The sequence below is a fragment of the Homo sapiens genome, chromosome 17 (assembly GCF_000001405.40).
Source record: "Homo sapiens chromosome 17, GRCh38.p14 Primary Assembly".
In the NCBI taxonomy this organism is placed as follows: domain Eukaryota; kingdom Metazoa; phylum Chordata; class Mammalia; order Primates; family Hominidae; genus Homo; species Homo sapiens.
The window spans coordinates 62,045,752-62,067,103 of record NC_000017.11 but is presented as its reverse complement, the minus strand read 5'-3'; the positions used below and the strand labels follow the sequence as shown (position 1 = coordinate 62,067,103).

The 21,352-nt window shown below is 39.9% G+C and overlaps 1 protein-coding gene across 4 annotated transcripts in view, besides 4 other annotated features; it reads left to right on the top strand.

Moving 5' to 3' along the window:
• Window positions 1,036-1,115: a silencer, noted in NCBI's record as "silent region_8804". NCBI's record gives its function as "represses an Ori minimal core promoter by ATAC-STARR-seq in GM12878 lymphoblastoid cells {active_cell/tissue: GM12878}" and the evidence as "EXISTENCE:reporter gene assay evidence [ECO:0000049][PMID:35858748]".
• Window positions 1,166-1,425: an enhancer, noted in NCBI's record as "active region_12538". NCBI's record gives its function as "activates an Ori minimal core promoter by ATAC-STARR-seq in GM12878 lymphoblastoid cells {active_cell/tissue: GM12878}" and the evidence as "EXISTENCE:reporter gene assay evidence [ECO:0000049][PMID:35858748]".
• MED13 (mediator complex subunit 13) overlaps window positions 1,826-21,352 on the top strand; it is a 122,674-nt gene continuing 103,147 nt past the window's right edge. For 3 of the 4 annotated variants that reach the window (XM_011525551.3, NM_005121.3, XM_011525552.3), the window contains exons 1-3: window positions 1,826-1,964; window positions 3,803-4,037; window positions 14,399-14,567. In XM_011525551.3, coding sequence (XP_011523853.1) covers window positions 1,899-1,964; window positions 3,803-4,037; window positions 14,399-14,567 — 470 coding nt within the window. In that variant the 5' untranslated portion in view covers window positions 1,826-1,898. Of the gene's footprint in view, window positions 1,965-3,802; window positions 4,038-14,398; window positions 14,568-21,352 lie in introns of those variants that run through there. The other variant, XM_011525553.4, reaches the window with a different exon arrangement.
• Window positions 1,906-2,185: a silencer, noted in NCBI's record as "silent region_8803". NCBI's record gives its function as "represses an Ori minimal core promoter by ATAC-STARR-seq in GM12878 lymphoblastoid cells {active_cell/tissue: GM12878}" and the evidence as "EXISTENCE:reporter gene assay evidence [ECO:0000049][PMID:35858748]".
• Window positions 2,336-2,435: an enhancer, noted in NCBI's record as "active region_12537". NCBI's record gives its function as "activates an Ori minimal core promoter by ATAC-STARR-seq in GM12878 lymphoblastoid cells {active_cell/tissue: GM12878}" and the evidence as "EXISTENCE:reporter gene assay evidence [ECO:0000049][PMID:35858748]".

The window sequence follows — 21,352 nt, the reverse complement described above, 5'->3', positions numbered from 1 at the left end:
TAAATGAGGACTTCTTTTCATTCCGTGGCTGAAGAAGTGACATGGAAGAGTCTACCATTCATTTTACAGATACAATTATGTATCTGTAATACATAATACATAATTATGTATCTGTAATACATAAAATTACAGTAAGTCCTAACTCACTGATGTTTCTAACTTCTGAATCATCTTTTTCTTCTTCTTTCTTTCTTGCAATCCTAAAACCGTCAGAGAAACTGTTTTGAACTCATATTGAAGTGTAACCCATCCAAGCACTGGGTGTTTTATGGGAAAGAGAATAAACCTTTTGTTTGGTTCTTACTTCTTACCACCCATTCATTTGTAACTATACAAATATCAAGCACCTACTGTGTGCTAGGAACCTTTTTTTAGGCACTAGAGAGACAGAAGTAAACAACAAAAAAATAGTGAGACCTTTACATACACTAGTTCTCCTGCTCGTCACAATAACTATATGAGGTAATGATGACAACAATAATAGTTAACTCTTAACAGTGCTTATCTGTGCGGGGCACTGGGCTACCTGCTTAATTTGTATTAACTCATTACAATAAGCTTGTGGGGTAAGGGATATGTTTTCCCCATTTTACAGATGAGTAAAGACACAGAGCAGGAAGTGATTTGCTCAAGCTTGGAACCCAGGCAGTGTGGCTCTAATTCCCAGTCTATTAACTACAGGGCAATATTTTGTTTCTTAAATTTATATCTTCATATCACAACTTTTAGGTTGAGGAGTCTTATCCCCATCCAGATCATCTGACTCCCAAATCCAGAGGTTTGCACCTGCACCCCAGCGGCCTCGCGAAATAAATGAGAATGTCTTGGAATTTTTGCCAATACTTTCTCTTCCAAAGAACTCAAACTGATTTCCACGTAATTCTCACTGATTTGTGAAATGAACCTTCCTGGACTGTAAATTTCCCCGCAAAGAGAGGGCCAGGGCCCCGGGTCGTTTTATACTGGCCGGGGCACCCAGCAGATGGCGCTATGTTAGTGGCCACCAGCTGGCTGCCCCGTCCCCCGAGCTCACCGCCTCCGCCGAAAGCTTCCCGGCCCTCCCTCGCTCACTTCTCTCTCCCCCTCCCAACCGAGCCCGGGCCCACGTGACCTCAAGGCGGCCAATGGGTGAGCAGAGAGGGCGAGCTGGTCCCTGTGGCCGCCATTAAAGCGAAGGGAAAACCCGTGAATTCGGATTAAAGGGGGAAAAACACCGCCCGCTGGGCCCACAAAATGGGGGAGACTACGGCGTCCAGCCGGTGAGGCCACAGGAGGGCAAACTTTAGGCCGGCTTGGCCCAGGAACGACACGAAGACAGAGCCAGAGAATGGTCTGAGCCCGCAGACGCCGCCACCACCTCCGCCGCTGAGGAGACTCTGGGCTTAAGGACATCGCCGCTGCCGCGCCGGGGGCCTGGGCTTCTCTCCCGGTTCTCGCCCTTCCCGCTCCTGTGCGGGCGCCTCTCCGCCCGGGAGAACCGTCCTGGGCTTGGGCTCTGCCGTCTCGGACTTGATTTTGATTATTTATTGTGTAATTTATTATTTTTCTTGTGGTAGGGGCACACATCCCCTCCGTCCCCCAGAGAGGGACGAGCGTCTGCGGGATCCGCAGTCCGGCCCGCCAGGCGAGCGCGGCGCGGCCCTCCCGCCTCCGGCCCTCGGCCCCGGGCGGCTGGGTGCCGGCCGGGCGGCGGGGGCTGCTCGCGGCGGCGGCGGCGGCGGCGGCGGCGGGGGGGTGGGTGGGGAGGGCGGGCGCCCGGCGGCCTCCTCTTCCACCGCCCCCCCAACCACTACCCCCCCCCCGGCCCTCCCCGGTGTCTGTGTTTCTCTCTCTGGTCGGAGGCGGCGGTAATGGCGGATGGTGGGTTGTGGCGCCGGCGGCGGCTGCTGTGAGGGACGATGAGTGCCTCCTTCGTGCCGAACGGGGCCAGCCTGGAAGATTGTCACTGTAACCTCTTCTGCCTGGTGAGTGCCGGGGCCGGCGGGCGCCGAGGGAGGGGGGCCGCGAGGTGCGCCCTTGGGCCGTGGGGGAGGGGGCCGGGTCTGGTCCAGATGCCCGAGTTCCCGGGCGAGGCCCAGCCGGAGCCGGCGCCCTGCGAAGCTCCGCGGCCAGCCCCGGGAGGCGGCGTTCGCTCTCCTACGGTCCCGGGCTCTGTTTAGGGGAGTGTTGGCATTTTTTCTCGTCTTGTTTCGGACTCTCCTTCTCACCGTAGTCTCGTCCTCAACTTGAGCTCCTTATCTGGCAGGACAGTAACCTTTCCCTCTTGTCTTGCTTAACTGTTGCTTTTCTCCTTATTGGCCCTGTATCCCTGCTTCACACTTTACATTATTGCCCCTGCTCCCCACCGCCTTTATGTCTTACCCTTTTAATTTGGTTTCCCCATGTAAACAGGACCCCAGAACTTAAGCCCTAGAAACCTGTCTTGGTTTTACATTTTTTTTGTATGAGTCAAACTAACGCCAGGTTAGTTTCTTTCTTGGGTGACTTAAGATCTCTCTGTAAAAGCCAGTAGGTGCCATTTCATATGTTTTCTTTTTAAACTTTGAAAACAGTTTGCCATTTTTGACAATTTCTAGCCATCTTGCTTTTATTAGAACATGATGTTTTTGTGAGAGTGAAGGGGGCTAGTGGACGAGGTGCTGTGGTTTTGCACTGTTTCTATATTTATTGTGTTTTGGTTGCTTTTTCAGAATGTTTTGAGCAGGCTGCTCCCTTGTTTGATTGAAATGGAAAGTCGAGAGAAGCGGGATGTAGGGATGATCATTGTGTAGGTTAGCCCAGGTCTGGTAACATCCAACAGTTAAGGCTTTCAGAAGTACCAACTGTTGCAAATAACTTGTCCTGTATGGGACAGTAGCTGAGCTTCATCAATGACTTTAAGTTTGGGTGACTTTACTTTTTCATTTTCTCCTTTGTGCTATGAGAAATATTAAGAGTATATGATAGGTAAGTGAGTTAAGTGGGAGGAGCACAACTAGTTGGCAAGTGTAAACTGCCAGTCATGTATCAGCAGTTTCATTTTTGGCACCTTATGCTTTGCTCCTTTAAGTTAGATTAAATTACTGAATTCCTCTTGTCGAATTTCTTAACGCCCATGCTAAATTGAGATCTTTAATACTCTATCCTCGTCTACAGTATGTTTTTCTTTTCAATGTCCATTAATCAGCATCTCTTCACATGTAATAAGACATACACCAGGTTTTATATTTCTATCTTATCCAACTCAGTCTATTTTTGGTACTTTTAGGATCAGTTCTTTGAAGATAGACTAGCACAAATCTGACAGTTCTTTGTGAGTAGCTATTTGACTTTTCCGACAGGGGTGTGTGTGAAGAATTAACATAGATTTTTTCAGAACTTGTTCAGATGTCTTTTCATTAGAGACGTTACTTCTGTAAATGTGGAATAAAAACCCATGATAGGGTCTTTAATAATTGATTTTCAGTTAAAAGTTTGACACCAGTGAACAAATGTGACCAGTTAGGACAGAGAAAAATGTACTCTGTTTGCATATTGAAGTGTGTGTCTATATTTAACATCATTCAGTTTCTTCTGTTTCTACTTGGAGTACATATTTGCTTGCTATTCAGTGACATGGTGGTGGTAATTTTTAACTGTATTCTTCTCCCTAAAATTCTTGGTTGTTGAATTATAAAGTCTTTTTTTGTTCTAATTTGCAGTCAATATCTCAAGCATACATTGAAAAATTGTAATGTCTTAATGAAATAAGAGACATCATATTGAGTACTTTTGACTTTGAGTGAATATGCAGTAATAAAACTTAATGCTTTCTTTCCTTCAGGCTGACTTGACAGGAATTAAGTGGAAAAAATATGTATGGCAAGGCCCAACTTCTGCCCCTATTCTGTTTCCTGTGACAGAAGAAGACCCCATTTTGAGCAGTTTTAGTCGCTGCCTTAAGGCAGATGTACTTGGTGTTTGGCGGCGAGATCAAAGACCTGGAAGAAGAGAATTGTGGATATTTTGGTGGGGTGAAGACCCCAGTTTTGCTGACCTTATTCACCATGACTTATCAGGTGAAAGAAACTTTCCATTTCTAACTAATGATATAGCAACATTGTATACTTCTCCCAGAATGTCATATGTATTACAAATTAAGTTTGTTTTTGTGGGAGACTTAGGAGGCCAGATAAAAATTCAGCTTCATTGTTTTATTTCACCATGATTATTTTATTTTACTTAAATTATCCATGTTGTTATAGCTGGGTTTTTAAGGCGTGAATGACTTTCTCCTTCCACCACCTCTCTTCTTAATTTCTCACAGGTAGTTAGGGCCCGAAGAAGGCATGTTACATTAATCTAAAAAAATGGAATCAGGAAACAGAGTTCCTAACAAAGTCGTGTAATAGTTTAGAAGCCAGATGTAACTTTTGAGTCACTTCAGCCACTGCTGAAGTTGAGTCTTTTGCATTGAATAGGCAGATGATTCTAAAAGTACTGGAAATGTAACTATCCGTGTGTGTGTGTGTGTGTGTGTGTGTGGTGTGTGTGTGTGTGTGTGTGTTTTAAGGCATGTATTTTGTTATTGTCATTTGTGCTATTTGATTAACTTATGAAGGCATATGTTAATTTAGTTATTTTTGGAAAGTGACTCATATACTGTTCTGTCAAACATAATAAGAGAAAAGTGCCAACTTGTTTAGCTTTTATGGGACATGGGATCATAATCTAAAAGGTTACACAAACAATTTTATTGTGAGCAAATCAATGTGATTACTTCCTTATTTTCTTGACTTTTAGGACCAAATGCTACTTTAGAAAGAGAAACTATAGCTTTTCATATAATTACTGAAGCTTTAAATTGTGAAAGTCAGTATTAACTGAATCTTAGATAATAGGAATATAAATGATTGGTTGTATGCTATAAGGTTCCAAAGACTTCAGTAAGATAGTTTGATAATGATTTTTGACAGATAAACTTAGGATTTCTAGATAATTTTTTTTAAGTTCTTATTTGAAATTGAGTACTCTGAAGTTTTTGTTATTGTATCTCTGACCTATAGGATCTATTTTATTTTTGGATAGAATGTATTCTAGGTGTCTGTATCTTGAACTGGTACTTAGTAAGACCAACATTTATGTAGGAATGTACGTGTTACATTTGTATGTTTTGATAATTGCTTTTCACATTCTAATGAACATACTCTCCAGTGTTAATTGTTATTTTTGAGAGTGACTGCAATTCTTCAAGAAAGCTTTCCAGCTTTTGTAGTTTTTCTAATAAGATGCCTGCTGCAGAGTCCAGTCCTTAGTTGTGTGTATTTAATGTAGTTCTAAATGTGTAAAGTGATGTGTATATGTATATACATATATGTACATATACATGATGTATGTATATATGGTAGTTTTAGCGAGACAATACTTTCTAATTATGCCAAAAGCTAAGTCCGCCAGCCTCCTTTTTCTTTCATTGTTTTGGATATAGTATTTGAGTTATTTTAATCGTTAAGTGGTCATAAAAATCACCTTACTAGAATGTTTGGAGACTGTATAACATTGTTGAAAAACTATAAACTATTGATAAAATATATTTGTTGATAAAACATAATTATTGATAAAACTATAATGGTGACTTAGGGGCTTTGGTCTTCTTAATAAAGTTGGCAGAGCATCTAAACAGACTAAACAGATCTTTTTTTAAGATTCCATGAAATACACTTTGTAGAATCAAAGATAATTTTAAGAGATACATAATGTTTAATTTTTTTTTTCTTTTTTTCTTTTTAAGTAGAGATGGGGTCTTGCTGTGTTGACCAGGCTGGTCTTGAACTCCTGAACTCTAGTGATCCTTCCATCTTAACCTCCCAAAGTGCTGGGATTACAAGTGTGAGCCCCTGCACCTGGCCTAGTTTTACCGTAATAGAAAAAATATTGTGAAAGTTAAAAGACTATTAAAGTTAGATGTGAGCTGCTTTGATGGATATTGTTAAAAGTCAGTTTTGTCTTCTAGGTTTCATGTTACCAGTCAGATATGTTTTCTCCACTGAAACTAGGTTACAGTCTTAAACATTTTTCTCTAGCTTTGATTTTTAGCGTAATTTTCAAAAATGGTAGTTACTTGTACCTTTAAAATAGTGATCAGCTGGGTGCCATGGCTCACTCACGCCTGTAATCCCAGCACTTTTGGGAGGCTGAGGCAGGCAGATCGCAGGGTCAGGAGATAGAGACCATCCTGGCCAACATGGTGAAACCCCATCTCTACTGAAGACACAAAAATTAGCTGGGCATGGTGGCACGCACCTGTAGTTCCAGCTACTCAGTAGGCTGAGGCAGGAGAATTGCTTGATCCCAGGAGGCGGAGGTTGCAGTGAGCCGAGATCTTGCCACTGCACTCCAGCCTGGGCGACAGAGTGAGACTCTGTCTCAAAAAAAAAAATAGATAGTGATCTTGAACGTGAATGAAAATAATTTTGGGAGGTTGGTTTTTTTTTTTTTTTTGAGACGGAGTCTCATTCTGTCCCGCGGGCTGGAGTGCAGTGGCGTGATCTCGCTCTCTGAGTGCAGTGGAGCTTGCTTGCTGCAAGCTCTGCCTCCTGGGTTCATGCCATACTCCTACTACCTCAGCCTCCTGAGTACCTGGGACTACAGGCGCCCACCACCACGCCCGGCTAATTTTTTGTATTTTTAATAGAGACGGGGTTTCACTGTTAGACAGGATGGTCTCGATCTCCTGAGCTTGTGATCCGCCAGCCTTGGCCTCCCAAACTGCTGGGATTACAGGCAGGAGGTAGGGTTTTAACTGCTGTCAGACTTTACTGAATGCTAATGAATGGTAAATAGCTTTTTTTTTGAGATGGAGTCTTGCTTTGTCGCCCAGGCTGGAGTGCAGTGGCGCAATCTCAGCTCACTGCAACCTCCACCTCCTGGGTTCAAGCGATTCTCCTGTCTCAGCCTCCCGAGTAGCTGGGATTACAGGCACATGCTGCCACACTCGGCTAATTTTTTGTATTTTTAGTAGAGATGGGGTTTCACCGTGTTCGCCAGGCTGGTCTCGAACTCCTGAGCGCAGACAGTCCACCCGCCTCGGCCTCCCAAAGTGCTAGGATTACAGGCGTGAGTCACTGCACCTGGCCGTAAATAACTTAAAAATTTATCAAAGTGAAGTGATTGAAATAATAAACTGAAATACAATTAGGAGTGGTATATGATCATATTTATTGTTCCAAAGCTTGTCCTGTACTGTTTTAGTTTGCATAGTCAGTGTTATTTATATAATATTTTAGCTTTTCTTAAAAATAAAACCTGTTATTTACTTAAGAATGTTGTTACTTAAATCAGACGTATCTTAAAGCATAATAAGGTTTTTTCAGATGGAATATATTTGTCTTGCCCTTTTCTTTGCTCTAGGGACAGCGTCTACCTCCCTCTTGGGGTAATTAGTCTGCCTCTGTCTCTCTAGCTAACCCCTTTTTCATTTCTTCCATCTGTGGCACTCTATTTCCTTCTTCTAAGCTCCCCTGAGAAGAGAGCAGCTGGACAGTACAGGGTAGCATCAGCTGCTGGAGGCAGTCCTGAGTTCCAAGTGGAGGTGTAGCACTGAGGAATGGGGTACCGGAAGGACCCAGGTGGTAACTAAAAAGCTGGTTAATTTAGCTTGAGCCTGCTCTTCACAGGCAGTGTCCTTCTGTTTGGTTCAGCACACACCACATCTTGTTACTGAAGTGTTTTTTATTATGGTGATAATATTGCCCTTGTTTTTCTTGGTAGTGAGGGAAGAGGGAAAGCATTTCTTTTTTCAAAGATTAGAATTCTCAGTTTTTCTTAACTGGAATATTCAGTAACAGAAATACAGAATTGCCTTTGTTTAACCCCCTTAGCTCCTTTGTGTCATGCAGTGTATTTTTAAAAATTAACTAATGAACCAATATTGATACTTTATTATTAACTAAAGTATATATTTGGATTTCCTTTATTTTTTTGCCTAATATGTTTTTCTTTTCTAGGATCTCATTTAAGATACCCCTATTACATTTAATTGTCATGTCTCCTTAGGCTTTGTTAGACTGTGACAGTTTCTCAGACTTTCTTTGGTTTTGATGATTTCGACAGTTCTGAAGAATCTGTTCAGATTCCATAGTGCATTTTAAATTTCATTTTCTCTTATGTCACTTAGCATTTGTTTGGGTTACCTTCCTTTCAAGTTTAGCTGATGTGTAGAAATAGAATGTAAACTTATTTTATTGCTAACTGGCAAAGATCAGTTACAGCAAATCACGTCTGATTTAATACATACTTTAAACCCTCAGTTACTCATTTTGTAGCAGTAAGTCAATACCGTTGAGCAAAGTAATTTGCAAAGGCTGGATGATTTTTGGATCAGGATTTGTGCTAACTAGTATTAGCCAAACTATAACATTCCAGAAGGTTATTTGTTCAAAAAATCTCTTGAATTCCAAAGCCAAACATAGATGATTTTCTTACTTTTTGCTTTATCCTCTATAGGATAATGATTAGTTGAATCGGGGTCGATATGTTTTGATACAAAAAGGATTAGGGAATAAAACTCCTTTGGGGTTACAGCTTTTTTCTTTCTTTCTTTCTTTTTTTTTTTTTTTTTTTTTTGAGATGAAGTCTCGCTCTGTCTCCCAGGCTGGAGTGTAGTGGGGCGATCTTGGCTCACTGCGACCTCCGCCTCCCAGGTTCAAGCGATCCTTCTGCCTCAGCCTCCCGAGTAGTTGGGACTACAGGCATGTGTCATCACGCCTGGCTAATTTTTGTATTTTTGGTAGAGATTTTAATAGGAGTTTCGCCATGTTGGCCAGGCTGGTCTGGAACTCCTGGCCTCAGGTGATCTGCCCGCCTCAGCCTCCCCAAGTGCTGGGATTACAGGCATGAGCCACCATGCCTGGCCCCTTTTTTTTAAAAATTGTATTTTGTAGCTTTGTTTAGTGGTTGTGTGATAGTGGGTGAAAGAGGTATAAAATGGGTGATGGGAAAATCTTAGCTCAGTCCCTCTGGTCAAGAATCTCTGTGGTGGGTAGGACTGGTACTTTTAAGTGTACTGTTAATTTGCTTCAGAGCAAGATTGTATCATTTTCATTAATGTGGTCTTGAAGGAGAGTTTTCTGTGTATTTTTATTCTGTGTTCTAACATTTTTGGAATTCAATTGCTGTCATCATTGGCTTTTATTCTTTCCCTTTAAATAAAAATAAAAGCAAACACTGCGTCCTCTCCCATTTGTCATCTTAAAAAAATCATAGCAAGTTAGACTGTGATGAGACTCTTTGAGAAAACTGATACCTTGTGAACTAAAAAAACTCAGGGCTAAAAATATTTGTTCTTTTTCCTGGCTCCTGAGGTCTGTAAAGTAGATTTTAGTAACATGTTCAGATAGTTTTATTATACCAGAATTTTATCATAATGAATAGTGCTCAAACTAAGTGGACTATTGTTCTGAATTTAATTTTGGATGTTTTAATTGAAGGATATTAACTGTAGTGGACTTTAACCTTAAATGACAGCTGTTAATAGGATTGACAGATAGATAAACAGCCAGGCATAGGAATCTAGTCCCAGCCAAACTAAAACATTGTTGTGTGCCCCACATAGTCTAAAGAGAGTAATTTATTTCTACTATTGTAAAATTTACTTGTGATGTGGCCCGACTCTTTAAATTGGCTAGTCTCCTAGGTGACAACTTCATTTGCTGTATTTCTTCTGCATACTGTTTTTTTGATCAAGTGTATCTTCTAAGTTTTCAAGCCAAACATAACATACTAGGCTGTTTTTAAATCAGTTTTCAAGTTTTGCCATAGATAATGATGCGGCCAACTTAAGGCTCTCGGTATATTTGTTGAATGTATAGGTTATTAATGATTATTCAGGAGAAACACTGATCTAGCATTTAAACATTTCTCTTTATTTCAGGAAATACATGGTATTTTCTACCATGTTAATTTTTGAGCCATTATTCATTAGCATATGTTACATTTTAATAGTTTTGCAAAATTGTATTGGAGAAGATTCATTTTTTACCACCGTGGAGATATTTAAAGATGCCATTTTTTTGAGAAAAATGTTGAGTGCAGGGTGTGTCTGCTTTTTTGGTTGTGATTTTTTTTCCCCATTGATAGAGAATTATTTTGATGACTTATCACATACTTTGGCACTACTGTAATCTGCATCTTCAGGAAAAAAATATGGTAATCAAATTTAGCATTTGTGTTTTCTTCCAATAAATAGTCCATAAAAATTTCAAGAAACACTGATGATTAAGAACTGTAATGCTAATAGTAACAGAAAAGTACTAAGAATGCAGAGTTGAACTTTATTTTCTCTGGACATAGAGCTACAAGAGAAGGAATTTTTTTTTCTTTTTTTTGTAGGGATGGAGGTCACACTTTGTCTCACTCAGCCTGCAGTGCTTAATCATAGCTCACTGCAGCCTCCGACTCCTGGACTCAAGCAATCCTCCCACCTCAGCTTCCCCAGCAGCTGGGCCTACAGGCATTGCCACTATGCCCTACTAACTAAAAAAAGTTTTTTGGAGTCAGGGTCTTCCTGTATTGCCAGGCTAGTCTTGAACTCCTAGCTTCAAGTGATCCTTCTGTCTTAGCTTCCCAAGTAGCTGGGATTACAGGCATGAGTCATTGCACCTGGCTAGAGGAGGAAAATAGTTATATAGATTAAGCAGACTTTTTCTATTAGGCTCTGGTTAAGTTCAAAAGAGATAGGTAAAGATTTGCCATATGTTCCCTTCTCCTTCCCCTCCCTATTATAATGCTGGTGTTGAGATTCAAGAACTTGTTTCAATTAGTGTAAATAGTGCATATCACTATGCCTTGAGTGGGTTGGTTGTACCATTTCACTTTTCGTATCTGAATACAACGTGTAGAAAGTACTTTTATTACAGTTATTAGATTGTCAGGATATTAGAAACTTGGCTCAGTAGGCTTCTTGTTTCTAAGTGATTCCCAACAAAACCAAAAACCTTCAGACTTTATTGAGCGTTATTAGGACTTACTCTCGTTTTTCTCAGCAACAAAATATGAAATTATATTACTTTAGTGTAATGGTTGCTTAGTTGCTTGCCATATAGATGAGGACATACTTCAGAGATACGTTGGATTTAGAAAACCTCAACAGGTGGTCTCTACTTGTTTGTTTTATGCATAGCTCCTATTTAGTGTTAATGAGAATTGTGGGCACTGGGGACATAAGATGCCCACCCCCTCTGAAAGCATTAGAATAATGAGGGAGAAATGCTTCAAGATTAATACTGATTACTTTTCTAAACCACATTCAATATTCTTTTTTTTTTTGAGATGGAGTCTTGCTCTGTCACCAGGCTGGAGTGCAGTGGCGTGATCTCGGTTTACTGCAGCCTCTGCCACCCAGTTCAAGTGATTCTCCTGCCTCAGCCTCCCGGATAGCTGGGACTACAGGTGCATGCCATCTCGCCCAGCTAAGTTTTGTATTTTTAGTAGAGATGGGGTTTCACTATGTTGGCCAGGCTGGTCTTGAACTCCTGACCTCAGATGATCCACCTGCCTCGACCTCCCAAAGTGCTGGGATTATAGGCATGAGCCACCGCACATGGCCTCACATTAAATATTCTTAAATCATTTGACTGCAAGTTTAACTAAAATAGATTTTACAAAATAAAACCATAAAATTTTCAGAATTTCATGTGAAAATTTATAAATTGTGCTTTAGCTTTTACTATTGCAAAGGTTTTTTTTTTTGTTTTTTTGAGTCAGAGTCTCGCTATGTCGCCCACAGTGGAGTGCAGTGGTGTGATCTCAGCTCACTGCAACTCCCATCTCTTGGGCTCAGGTGATTCTCATGCCTCAGCCTCCTGAGTAGCTGGGACTACAGCCGTGCCATGCATGGCTAATTTTTATATTTTTAGTAGAAATGGGGTTTTGCCATGTTGGCCAGGCTGGTCTCGAACTCCTGGCCTCAAGTGGTCCACTTGCCTTGGCCTCCTGAAGTGCTGGGATTACAGGCATGAGCCACCACACCTGGCCTCAGCCTCCCGGATAGCAGGCGTGAGCCACCACACCTGGCTTCAGCCTCCCAGAAAGCAGATTTTTTTATTTACTATTTTTGCGAAGGAGACAAAGTCATTTTCTAGTTTTAAATGACTAATTTATTTGAAGTTTATAACAACTGTACAACCTTGATACTTACAAATGGTAACTGTGTCTTGGGTCTTTGATGCTTTAAAACTTAGGAGAAATATGTTGGTAGTGGTTTCTTATGTAGAACAAGTGTTACAACCATCAGAAGGTAGGGATTTTTGAAATAAAAGGTAATAAAAATAAAAGATACTAAATTGATTGTAAAGAGGTGAAGAATTGGAAGATATTCCTAACATAATTCTGTTGGAATTAAGAACATGTATATTCTAGTAGTCATAAGTCTCATAATTTGAGGTAAAAGTCTTAATGTAGCTATTTAATTTTGAAATGGTAGGACCTCATTAAATTGAAAGCAGATCAATTGAGATTCTTTTCTCTTTTTTTGTCATCAACTCACAAATATGCTTGTGATCTAGACCTTTAATTAATTAAAGTGAAGTCACTTTGTGCTGCTTCTCTATTCTCCTAGCCTAATACTTTCTTTAATGAAGTGAAACCCATAAACGTTTTGGTTTTAAATGGAAGTAGATAACGGTGTCTTTGATATAATAGAATGTGAATTTTTCCTATTTAATATTTATGATTAATATTAGACTTAAAAAATTATTCTATACCAATTCTGAAATATTGTCATTTTCTCAAGCTTATTCTACTTTTTTTTCCCTAAGCTTACCTTTTTTTTTGTTTGTTTGTTTTTTTGGAGACTGAATCTCACTCTGTCCCAGGCTGGAGTGCAGTGGCACGATCTTGGCTCACTGTAATCTCTCCCTCTTGGGTGATTCTCCCACCTCAGCCTCCCGAGTAGCTGGGATTACAGGGCTGCACTATGACGCCTGGCTAATTTTTGTATTTTTAGTAGAGATGGGCTTTCATCATGTTGGCGAGGCTGGTCTTGAACTCCTGACCTCAGGTGATCCGCCCACCTCAGCCTCCCAAAGTGCTAGGATTACAGGCGTGAGTAACTGCGCCCAGCCTAAAGCTTATTTAAAATAAAATTTAAAAAAAAATTAGTTGCTTTGAAAGACTTGACTATCATTTAGGAGAAAATATAAAACCAACATTAATCTTTGTAGTGGCACAGAATTTCTAGTGCAGTTAAAGTCCACTATCATACTTTTTAGTTAATGTTTATTCTACCCATTTGTTGTATAAATTGTGCATATAAACCATGTGTAACTCTTAATACATGTCTTTGCTTTTATTCAGAAGCTCATATTGTGTCTGTTTTTCTGTGGGTATAGTGTATGCATTTTTGGTGTTGAATTGAGAAACGTTTGTCTTTTATTTTTACTTAAACATTGAACACAGATGACCCATATTTACAAAATGTTTATAAAGGTATATAGGCTATAGAAGGAGAGTTAATTATATTTAGACTAAGCAATTTAAAATCTTGTAATGAAAGTTAGAGTGCTGAAGTGGTATCATTATTTGTAGCACGATTTGTTGGATGCTTTGTGACAGATATGAAATGGATAGAGTACACAAAAAAATTTTTCTGACCTACATCCAGACTTATCTCAAAATGACTGTGTTAATGTTTTTTTGGTAAATTAACTTGGAGTGATTAATAGATTTGTTGGCAAAATTGAAGCTATATAGTTAGTGAAGATAGCTATAATTTTATTTGACAGAAGTGCCATTTACAATTTAAGTCTTTAAATTTTTAAATTTCTCCCCCAAGTAAAGGGTCCTGTACTGAATAATAATCATGGGAATAATTTGTTTGAAATGAGACCTAAGGTGGCTGATAGTGCACCGCTTGTTAGGCTCTGTGCCAACAGCTTCCTTTTTATTCATCACTTAGTGTTGTAGTGGAGTCGTGGATTAGAATGCTGATGGACATGAAATGTTTTGACTTTAATTATTAACTGGCTAGTTTTTTTGGCAGGTTGAATGACTAGGGGAATTAGGACAAAGTAACAAGTGAGCCAGCTTAGAAATTGGCATCATAGGTGTAGAGTGTGTTTAATATTTTCCAGGTTATACAAACAAGTGTCCTTTTCATTAATACAGGAACCAATTCAGTATGTTCATGATGTCATTGAATTTTATAAGGTGGAAAAATACTTTTCAGGTAATTTAATAGAATATGTGGCACTTAGACCTTTTATTCCTTGTGGAGTAACTTTGAAACCTGATAATGTCTAGAGATACATTGAAGTGATTGTAGCTTAATATTCTGGGGTAAGCTAGTGTTGATGAATATAGAGTTTAAACTGTAACCTTTTTTACTTGGCTCTGAATAGATTATAGTGTCACTATTTTATTATTTCCTTCATTTCTCTTTTAGAAGAAGAAGATGGAGTGTGGGAGAATGGACTTTCCTATGAATGCCGTACTCTGCTTTTCAAAGCAGTTCACAATCTATTGGAACGGTGTTTAATGAACAGGAATTTTGTACGTATTGGCAAGTGGTTTGTAAAGCCTTATGAAAAAGATGAAAAACCTATAAATAAAAGGTAAGCTATCTTAAATTCTGACGTGATATTTCTTTAGATTTGTTCCTTTTTGTGTCTTAACAGAGAATGTGGGATAAAACAAGCTAATATACAGACATATTCCAGAGGTTGTCAGTGACAGAGTACTAGATACAGTCAGGTTTTTTTTTTTTTTAAACCACTTTACAAACTTCCCTTTATACACTTTAAGCATTTTCTTACTGTAGGAATAGGCTGTATTTTAATACAGTGGCCTAAATTTTGATTTGTGATGATAGACTTAATGTGGGATGAAAGCAGAGACTTAGGCTTGGAAGTATCTTTTTTTTAGTATTTGTGGAAATATATGCACAGCACTCTGATATTAAAATTAAGTAACAACACCTGTTAAGGATAGTGATCTGTGAGTATGTTTTGGATCAAGTTAACCCTTCTTATTCCCAATCTCTCAATTCCCTTTAATTAAAGTAATTTAAATTTGTGTTTTCTATATAAGACCATTTACTCTTTGAGAGCTTATAATTTTCTTGAGCAATGAATTAAGCAAATTTATGACACTACTTATTAGACTAGTTGCAGATAGAGGCACAGAAGACTTATGATAGATACCTCCTTCTCCTATGCAATTAAAACCTTCAGGTTACTCGCTTCTCCGTGATTTAGATAATATAAGGCATAGTCTCTCAAAAGATTTAAGTTCCCAGCAGTCATTGAGTTAGTGAGACTTCAAGAGAGATGAACCAGTGGCAAGTAAGTTGGGATGTGGGGAAGAGAAAACTAAAGGGAACTTACTAATTTTTCCTGAAAGATGTGAGAGGATGTGAAGTGAACATTTGGTTGAGATTGTAATCATTTTGAGGTCTTTGATGTCATATATGCACATCTTTTTTCATGTGCACCTGGAGTTTTTGTTTGTTTGTTTTTTCAAACTTTTTAGTTTTAGTAAGACTGGATGAGTAGATAAGCCTGGATAAATAAAGGTGCTTTCATTTTTTTTCCTCTTTGAAAATTAACGTAAACCTTTATTGTTAACAAAATACTTGTGTAAGTTCAGAATGCATTCAGCTGGAAATGACAGAACAACATTAACTACTTGGCTTATGTAGGGATTGATTTTTCTCAGTAGCAAGCAGTATGGAGGTCGATAGTTTAGTACTGGTATAGCTGTTCAATAATGTCATCAAGGATTCAAAGTTCCCCAGAGTTTTCTCTGTGCCATTTTTACATCTTCATGGTCCTCCCGTGTGTTGCACCTCCAGACCTCACAGTGGATTCCAGGCAGGAAGAGAAAGGAAGGGAGGAAGTAAGGAAGGTGTGGCACCTGAGTCAGAAAGTAAATTATTTTCTGGAAACTTTAGTTGACATATCTTTGGCCATACTAAGAGAAACAAATATCTTTTATTTGGAAACAGCTGCTCTGAACAAATGAAGTTTTTGTTAGTAAGAAGAAAGGGCTGATAGATATTAGATAGATACCAAAGATCAAAGAAGTGGAAATGGATATTGGGTAGGCAGTTAACAATATCTGCCATATACATTTATTTATTTATTTTGAGACAAAGTCTCACTCTGTTGCCCAGGCTGGAGTGCAGTGGTGCAATCTCAGCTCACTGCAACCTCTGCTTCCCAGGTTCAAGTGATTCTCCTGCCTCAGTCTCCCAAGTAGCTGGGATTATAGGCGTGTGCCACCACACCTGGCTAATTTTGTGTATTTTTAGTAGAAACGGGGTTTTGCCATGTTGCCCAGGCTTGTCTTGAACTCCTGAGCTCAGGCAATCCACCCGCCTCGGCCTCCTAAAGTGCTGGGATTACAGGCGTGAGCCACTGCTCCCAGCCAGGCATATAGATTTATGTAGTTTTAAGAAGTCAAACAGATTACCAAGATTTAAAATGAAAGGCTGCAATCCTGAGCCCCAATGAATAGATTTGCTCCTCAGAAGCAGCCCTTTTTAATTCTTCTGTTTCTTTTAAGTTACCTGTTTAAAAATTTTGAAAGACATAACATGCTTATTCTTGAGTTATCATTTAGGATTAATCTAGTGGACTTTTTTTTTTTTTGGTCACAACAGCCTACCATTGAAATTCTATTGACTTTCTATTGAGAGGTTAGCTATCTTACTTCCCCCGACTCAACACTTGGATATTGGCACTTTTGCACACACTTCTTTTCCCTCTCCTTTTCCTTTTTTTTTTTTTTCTGATACGGAGTTTCACTCTTGTTGCCCAGGCTGGAGCGCAATGGTATGATCTCGGCTCACTGCAACCTCTGCCTCCCAGGTTCAAGTGATTCTCCTGCCTCAGCCTCCTGAGTAGCTGGGATTACAGGCGTCTGCCATCATACCCAGCTAATTTTTGTGTTTTTAGTAGAGACAGGTTTCGCCATGTTGGCTAGGCTGGTCTTGAACTCTTGACCTCAAGTGATCCACTCACCTTGACCTCCCAAAGTGCTGGGATTACAGGCATGAGCCGCTGCACCTGGCTTCCTCTCCCTTTCCTTATCTTGCCAATATAGTTATAAGTTTTGGTAAAAACAATATTTGTTTATACTCTTATAATTTTATAAATATTATTTGTAACTGAGCCATAGTATATTGAAACACATTTCATTTCATTCTTTTTTTTTTTTTGGAGACAGAGCCTCACTCTGTCACCCAGGCTGGAGTGCAGTGGCGCGATCTCAGCTCACTGCAAGCTCTGCCTCCCTGGTTCACGCCATTCTCCTGCCTCAGCCTCCCGAGTAGCTGGGACTACAGGTGCCCGCCACCACGCCCAGCTAATTTTTTGTATTTTTAGTAGAGATGGGGTTTCACCATGTAGCCAGGATGGTCTCGATCTCCTGACCTTGTGATCCGCCCACCTCGGCCTCCCCAAGTGCTGGGATTACAGGCGTGAGCCACGGCGCCCAGCCTTCACATTTCATTTCTTGTACATCGTTTTGTTTTCCCAGGTGTTAATGATTATCCCTTTTTTTCACTTAATTATTAATGTTATGAGTTAGTAAACACCTGCCTGTACTCTGCCACTTTTTTTGTAAATAAAGTTTTGTTGTAACACAGCCATGCTCATTCATTGATAGATTGTTTTATGCCTGCTTTCACACTAGAGCAGAGTTAAATAGTTATGATAGAGACAGATGGCTTGCAAAGCTGAAAATACTTAGCCTGAAATATTTTCTAGCTGACTTTTTGTAGTTTGCTGACTCCTGATCTGTGTACCTGTTGGTAGTTCATCAGTAGACTATCTATTAGAAGTATAAATCACTTCTCCCTACCTTCAAGGACTTTGTATAATCTTATGAGTTTCCCTTTTTTTCTCCTCTTGTTAATTAATATCCCTGTTGTTACCCTTCATTCTTCTTTTCCGATTTGGATTAGTAGTTCTGTAGTCCTGTTTCACAGTAGTCATCTTGGGGATTCTCTTTGCTTTTCCCTTCTTGTTGGATCCCTCATTTCTCATTTCTCCTTTTTTTTTTTTTTTTTGTCTTATTTACTGTTATGGTGGTGCCCAACCTGAGAGTAGTTTCCTGAGAGTGCAAGGATGGTGATACTTTTGAGATCCTCTGTGTTGGAATTCTGAGTCAAACCGCAGAATTGCAGGCTCTTAAGTTTCTTTCTTTTCTATCCTTATAATTGATAGTTTTGACTGGGTATAGAATCTTTGATTAGCAACCCTCTTAGACTTCTGGGTACTAAAATGCTAACTGGAGGTTCTGTGTATGTGAGTAGCTTATGACATTGCAGGCTTTACTAGAGTGAATGATCTGGGGACTTGACTCTTTTTATTGGGTGCCTGTCACCCACCTGCCAGTATTTGTACGCTCTGTCACCTGCTTAAGTAGTTTTCCCAGAGGAGACTTTCAGTACTCTGACTAGAGGGTATAAGCTGGGCTGCCAGTGTTTAGTGAACCTATTGGGGAAAGGAGGTTTGGAGGTGGGGCTCACTTACATAGTGGTTAAATTTTCACTTAATCTTTTAAATACATCATCTCAGCTGTATCTGAATATCTCTAATTCTGAGTCCCTCTGTTTCAACCATTTCAAAGAGTGGACCTCTTAAGTTTTTCACTGATCTGGAAGAAAGTGGAGAGGCTCTAATATCTTTGAACTTTCATTCCTTCTGCTTTCTTTTTCTTTCCTTTTTTTTTTTTTTTTTTTTTTTTGAAACAGTCTCACTCTGTCAGGCTGGAGTACAGTGGTGCAATCTTGGCTCACTTCAACCTCCACCTCCCAGGTTCAAGCGGTTCTCATGCCTCAGCCTCCCAAGTAGCTGGGACCACAGACACTAGCCACCACGACTGGCTAATTTTTGTATTTTTAAGGAGACGGGGTTTCGCCATGTTGGCTAGGCTGGTCTTGATCTCCTGGCCTCAAGTGTTCTGCCCACCTCAGCCTCCCAAAGTGCTGGGATTACAGGTGTGAGCCACTGTGTCCAGCCCCTTCTCTTTTCAGTTACACCTATATATCCACCTTCAGGGATATATATATACATATATACATATATATATATATATATATGTATATGTATATGTATATGTATATATGTATATATACCAGTACCTTCAACTTCTGAGCCTTTCTGGGATTCTGTGGTTTGACTCAGTTTATAACTTTGTAAGTTTAACCACTGCACCCGGCTTTCTTTATGAAAAACTCTTAAAAGGCTATTGATAATTGAAAATATAGGCTCACACCTGTAATCCACCACTAAGGGGCCGAGGTGGGAGGATGGCTTGAGACCAGGAGTTTGAGAGCAGCCTGGGAAACATAGCTAGACCCCCGTCTCTCTCTCTCTCTCTCTTTTTTAATGATCTTATTTTATTTATTTATTTGTTTGTTTATTTTTACTTTAAGTTCTGCAATACATGTGCAGAACGTGCAGGTTTGTTAATAGATACATAAGTGCCGTGGTGGTTTGCTGCACCTATCAGCCCGTCATCTGGGTTTTAAGCCCCATATGCATTAGGTATTTGTCCTTATGCTCTCCCTCTCCATGCTCCCTATCCCCTAACAGGCCCCAGTCTGTGATGTTCCCCTCCCTGTGTCCATGTGTTCTCACTGTTCAACTCCCACTTTTGAGTGAGAACATACAGTGTTTGGTTTTCTGTTCTTGTGTTAGTTTGCTGAGGATGATGGTTTCCAGCTTCATCCATGTCCCTGCAAAGGACATAAACTCATTCTTTTTGTTTTTGAGATGAAGTCTTGCTCTATCGCCCAGGGTGGAGTACAGTGGCATGATTTCAGCTCACTGCAACCTCCACCTCCTGGATTCAAGCAATTCTCCTGCCTTAGCCTCCCGAGTAGCTGGGATTATAGGCACCCACCAGCACGCCCGGCTAATTTTTGTATTTTTAGTAGAGACGGGGTTTCACCATGTTAGCCAGACTGGTCTCGAACTCCTGACCTCAGGTAATCCGCCCATGTCGGCCTCCCAAAGGCCTGGGATTACAGGCGTGAGCCACCATGCCCAGCCGAACTCATTCTTTTTTTATGGCTGCAGACCCCCGTCTCTTTAAAAAAAAAAAAAAGCTGGGCACAGTGGCACACACTCTGAAGTGGGACTTCAGAGTCCCAGCTACTCTGAAGACTGAGGTGGGAGGATCACTTGAGCTCAGAAGATTGAGGCTGCATTGAGTTAGGATTGTGCTGTTGTACTCCAGCCTGGGCAACAGAGCAAGACCCTGTCTTAAAAAAAAAAAATTGAAATTATAACTTTTTTTTTTTGAGATAAGGTCTCTTATTTTGTCACCCAGGCTGGAGTGCAGTGGCACAATCATGGCTCATTGCAGCCCAAACTGCCAGGCTCAAGTAGTCCTCACACCTCAGCCTCCCATGTAGCTGGGACCACAGGTGCACGCTACCAAGGCTGGTTAATTTTTGTAGATTTTGTAGAGACAAGATATCACCATGTTGCCTAGGCTGGTCTTGAACTGAGCTCAAGCTACCCACCATCTTTGGCCTCGCAAAGTGCTAGGATTACAGGCATGAGCCAGTGTACCTGGCCAAAAATACAACTTTTAATTGGATATTTTCATGAATCCAACAGATGCTGCTTGTTATTTAACCATGTAATTGAGCACTAGTGTTTTTCCATGGGCTGACCCATTTAGGAGGGGAACTAAATTAAGATTGTATTTTATTAGTGAAGTGTTACCAGAAATAGTATATGCTCTTTCGAGTTACTCTTGAACCATAGTTGTGGTATAATAACTGACTTTATTCTGGAAAGATAAATGCTGCTCCTCAAATCTCTTTTTTACAGGAACTTTCTTACCCTTTTTCCTTCTTTGGAAAAGCAAGTAGGACAAAAATCAAGCAGCTAAGTCTATCTTTAAGTTATTACTTCGGACTTCTTTTCTGTTGAATTCAGTGGAATGATATAGGGAAGGTAGATAAAGATTGATTATAAATTAATGCATTTCTAGACCATTCTGAAACATAAGTATTATATAGACTGTTTTTGTTGACTAATCAATTCACTTTTGGTATAAGTATTCTGAAAAAAGAACAAGAGTTGTAAAGAAAGAAAATTTATGATGTGAAACTACTTTGACCTGAACAAAGGAGAAAATAATATTGCTTACCTTTTTATCTTCTTTTTCCTTTCTTTAAAATTTTTAAAGAAAAAAATCTCATTTTCTGATAATCTGGACCTACATGTAGTTGTGTGTTTAACAGTCTTTAGGGACTGAAAGAGAGGAAATAGAATCAAATTCTAGGGATACAGCTAGGTTACCTGTAAAGAATCCCGCAAGTGTAAGAGTAACCACAGGAACAAACCAGTCTTCAGATAATTGGTTTAAAGAATGA